Source organism: Homo sapiens, chromosome 14 (assembly GCF_000001405.40).
Source record: "Homo sapiens chromosome 14, GRCh38.p14 Primary Assembly".
Lineage (NCBI taxonomy): Eukaryota > Metazoa > Chordata > Mammalia > Primates > Hominidae > Homo > Homo sapiens.
In genome coordinates this window covers 26,204,416-26,207,961 of record NC_000014.9, presented here as the reverse complement: position 1 = coordinate 26,207,961, position 3,546 = coordinate 26,204,416, and the positions used below count along the sequence as shown (strand labels likewise).

General features: G+C 38.4%; 1 annotated feature.

The window, feature by feature from the left end:
• Positions 2,211–2,723: an enhancer, noted in NCBI's record as "H3K27ac hESC enhancer chr14:26674445-26674957 (GRCh37/hg19 assembly coordinates)". NCBI's record gives its function as "activates a minimal SCP1, AML or CMV promoter by ChIP-STARR-seq in naive H9 embryonic stem cells {active_cell/tissue: H9 hESC(naive)}" and the evidence as "EXISTENCE:reporter gene assay evidence [ECO:0000049][PMID:30033119]".

The following is a 3,546-nucleotide window of genomic DNA, read 5'->3' as shown; positions in this document are numbered from 1 at the left end:
TGCCAGAAACACGTCCTGTGTGTCCGGCCCAGTGTGCAGGTCTTTTATTTTTAAATTCATTCATTCATATTGAAAAAACAAACACAAAATTAACTGATCATCATTGGAGGATGCTACTGTACTGAGTCAATAGTTTGAAAATTGGTAAATAAAGTAACAATTTAAAGGCTTATATTGCTCTCTTATGCGAACTATACCACTAGGTAACCAAATAGTGGATGAGGAGTAATTTTTTTTCACAGAAGAATTAACGGATCCAGGCTCTGGTCATTAGTGGTTGCTAGTAACATAGAGAGAAATCGAGAGAGAGAGAGGGGAACAGAGAGAGAGACGGACAAGGAGGTAGGCATTGTGCACTTCTATTTGGATGGATACAATGTTTATAAAGTAGTTTTATGAAAACTGTAATTTGTACCAAATAGAGAATGAAGAATATGTAAATCTACCCCAATGTGATTCAATCAGCAAAATCTAGAATGAGAGAAACTCTACAGGACAAACCCTTCATTTCTTCAATAAATAAATTCAAGAAAAAGTGGTTGGAGGAGGTTCTTACAGATTAAAAGAGATTTTAAAAAACATCAGCCATTTCAAGGTGTGGATTTTTGTTTTGTCCAGATCCTGATTCAAATAAACTGTACAACAAATTTTCTCACATTTATGAAAGAATCAGAAATTTCAACACTGGATATCTTCCTAAGAAATTTGTCAATTTTCTTAGGTGTGGTGATGGTAACTGATTGTGTTAAGAAGCAGTGCTCATTGTTCATTTGCAGATAAAAGGATAGGGTACCTAAGATTTGCTTCCTAATAAAGCAGCAGGGGGGAAGTGGATAAGTGTATGAATGGGGCAGGATTCACCATGGTTGTTGGAACTCAGTGATTGACACATGGAGAAATCAGGATCTCATTATGTTGTTTATTTTGTGTATGTTTGAAGTTCTCTATCATTTTTTTAAAAAGCCTTTTTAAAATGTCTTTTAAAAACTCTAGGTTTAGACTACATTAAAAGAAAAACCTTGGACAAATTAAGTTTAATAGTTTAATAGAGCAGAGAACAATTCCCATATCAGACAGCCCCAGAACCAGAATAGGTTCAGAGAGACTCTGGCGCTACCACGTGGCAGAAAAAACATTTTTGAACAGAAAAAGGAAAGTTAGGTACAGAAAATGGCACTGAGGTATAGAAACAGCCAGATTGGGCACAGCTGGGCATTTGCCTTATTTGAACATGGGCTTGAACAGTTGGCCACCTTTGACTGGATGAAACTCAGTGATTACCAAAAGAGTAGGTATCAGTCTGCTTACATCTCCACTTAGGTTACAGTTGACTATGTATGGAGAAACATTTAGGCCAAACTTAAAATACGTAAGGAGGTAGTTTTAGGCTAAACTTTTTAACAACTGGAAGGCGTATATAACTTAAAAGTAAAATATATGAAAGTATTCACTTGAGTGTTATAGTCAGTTTGAATGTAAATGCAAACTAAACTAATTTGAAAATTAGGTAATGCTATGATTCAAGACCAAAGGACGTGGGCTACGTGCCATCTTCTTTAGATTTTGGAATTATTGCTATAGCTACTATAAATAGCACTCCCTATTTTCTATCAGGATTGCAGACCATTAAGTATGACTGTTATCCTTTTGTTATTTAAGAAATCTCAGCAAGCTGAGGCCATTTTAGAAAGACAACCACCAAACTACATTTATTTTTCTTAATGAAAAAGATGTTTTGTTAGCTTGAGGAAGATTTAGAAATAAGTATAGAAATATTTAAGGAAATCAAATATGTAGTAGTGATATTTTATTATTAAGAAATATGAGTATATTTCATAGTTTAAGTATTACGGTATTTAAGAGAATTGGATCTATTAGAATAACAGGTAAATCTGTCATTCCAGTTAAACATGTTAATTGTGTAATTGATTCATACTTGTCATTTTAGTTCACGTCTTACCAACGATACATTCAGTTTGGACATTTAATAGAATTTGGGGTTCACCATGCCATGTAATTAATTTGTAAAAGCTATTATACTAAACTATCTAGAAAAGTTTGTCCATCAGATCTTTGAGAAACTTAAATAGGTAATAGGATATACTCAATTGACAAATCAGGTTTAAAATGTTTGAAGAGGTTTAAAAAAAGTTTGTAAATAGGACCAAATATTAGCCAATCTCCCTAAAAAATTGTTGCTGAATGTGCTATACTATGAATAGAAGATTTATATGTAGAAATCAAACGCTTAAGAAAAGCTAGATTTTAAAATGTATAACTTTAATATTTCATGTGTTAATTTAAAAGCCATTGTTTACTAAGTTAAGTGGGTTTTTCTGTGCACAAAAACCACCCATCCTGGACTTACAAATACAAAAAAACAAACAGAACATCGCATTTTTAGCAAATGAATGGATCATTGAAGTCTTTAAAAAAAAACGTTTAATGCAACGAATAGGAGTGAATTTTGGGAGCCCTGCTAGGAGTGACACTCTCCCGAAATGTCACTTTCTCCGAGGCTGTCAGACTGGCAAGGGCAGGTTCGGGCCGGCGGGGAGGGCTCCGGCATTAACATATTTCCTAGACGCTCCATCTCCTTGGTCCGGCGTAATGGATGCCTCCCAGCTCCCTGTGGACACGGGAGCCCATCAGGCTAGGAGCAGATTAAAGCTCACACACTTCAAATTGGCGGCTTGCCGCGGCTTGCCAGAAGGCTAGAGTTCAGCGCGGCTTTAATAGAGAAGTCTCCGAGTCTCCTTCTCCCCATCTCCCTCTCGCCTTCCTTTGAAAGGAACTCGAGTCCTAGGCAAACCTCAGGCCCACCTCCCAAACGCCCCAGAGTCGGGCTGCGGCGGGCGGGGGTCTCGGGTCGGAGAAGGGACCGGCGGGCGGGGACGCAGGGGACCGGCGACTTGGCAAACACCCACCCTCAGCTCAGCTCGCCAACCCCGGGCGATCGCGCTGCGCATAGTGAACTGTCAGCGACGACTGATTTATAAGACCGATTTACCTTCTGGAGAGTGTAATTATGTTCATAGTTAAGAATTAATCAGGTGAGAGAATTATGGAATAATCATTCTCCGGACTTTAAAGGACAAACTAAATGGAGACCCACCAATGCGGCTTCAGGGCCTGGCCGCCGAGAGTCCTTTGCCTCCCCGTCAGTGACGGGGCGGTTTCTAGCTGACTTCCTTTGTAAAAAGGCAAACCGAGAAATCTTGCTGAGTTTCTCCAAAAGGATAATTCCCAGTCACCCAATTTAAAAGATGGGGAAAAGGAGATTTTGTGAAAGAAGGAATTCGTAGAGACCGGATTATCTCTGAATAAGAATTTGGCTGTTGTTTCCTGTTCAAGAAAATTATACCTGAATTGCTTTCTGCTTTCACTTACTCTATGGAACAGTCAGCACTTCAGAATCGTTTTCTGTATCGTTTTTGCTAATATGTTTCCCCTTCACCCTAGCAGTGTGGGTTGGATGGTTTTCACATTATGGGATTACGTTCTTTTTAGATGGGGAATATATATATATATATGTGTGTGTGTGTG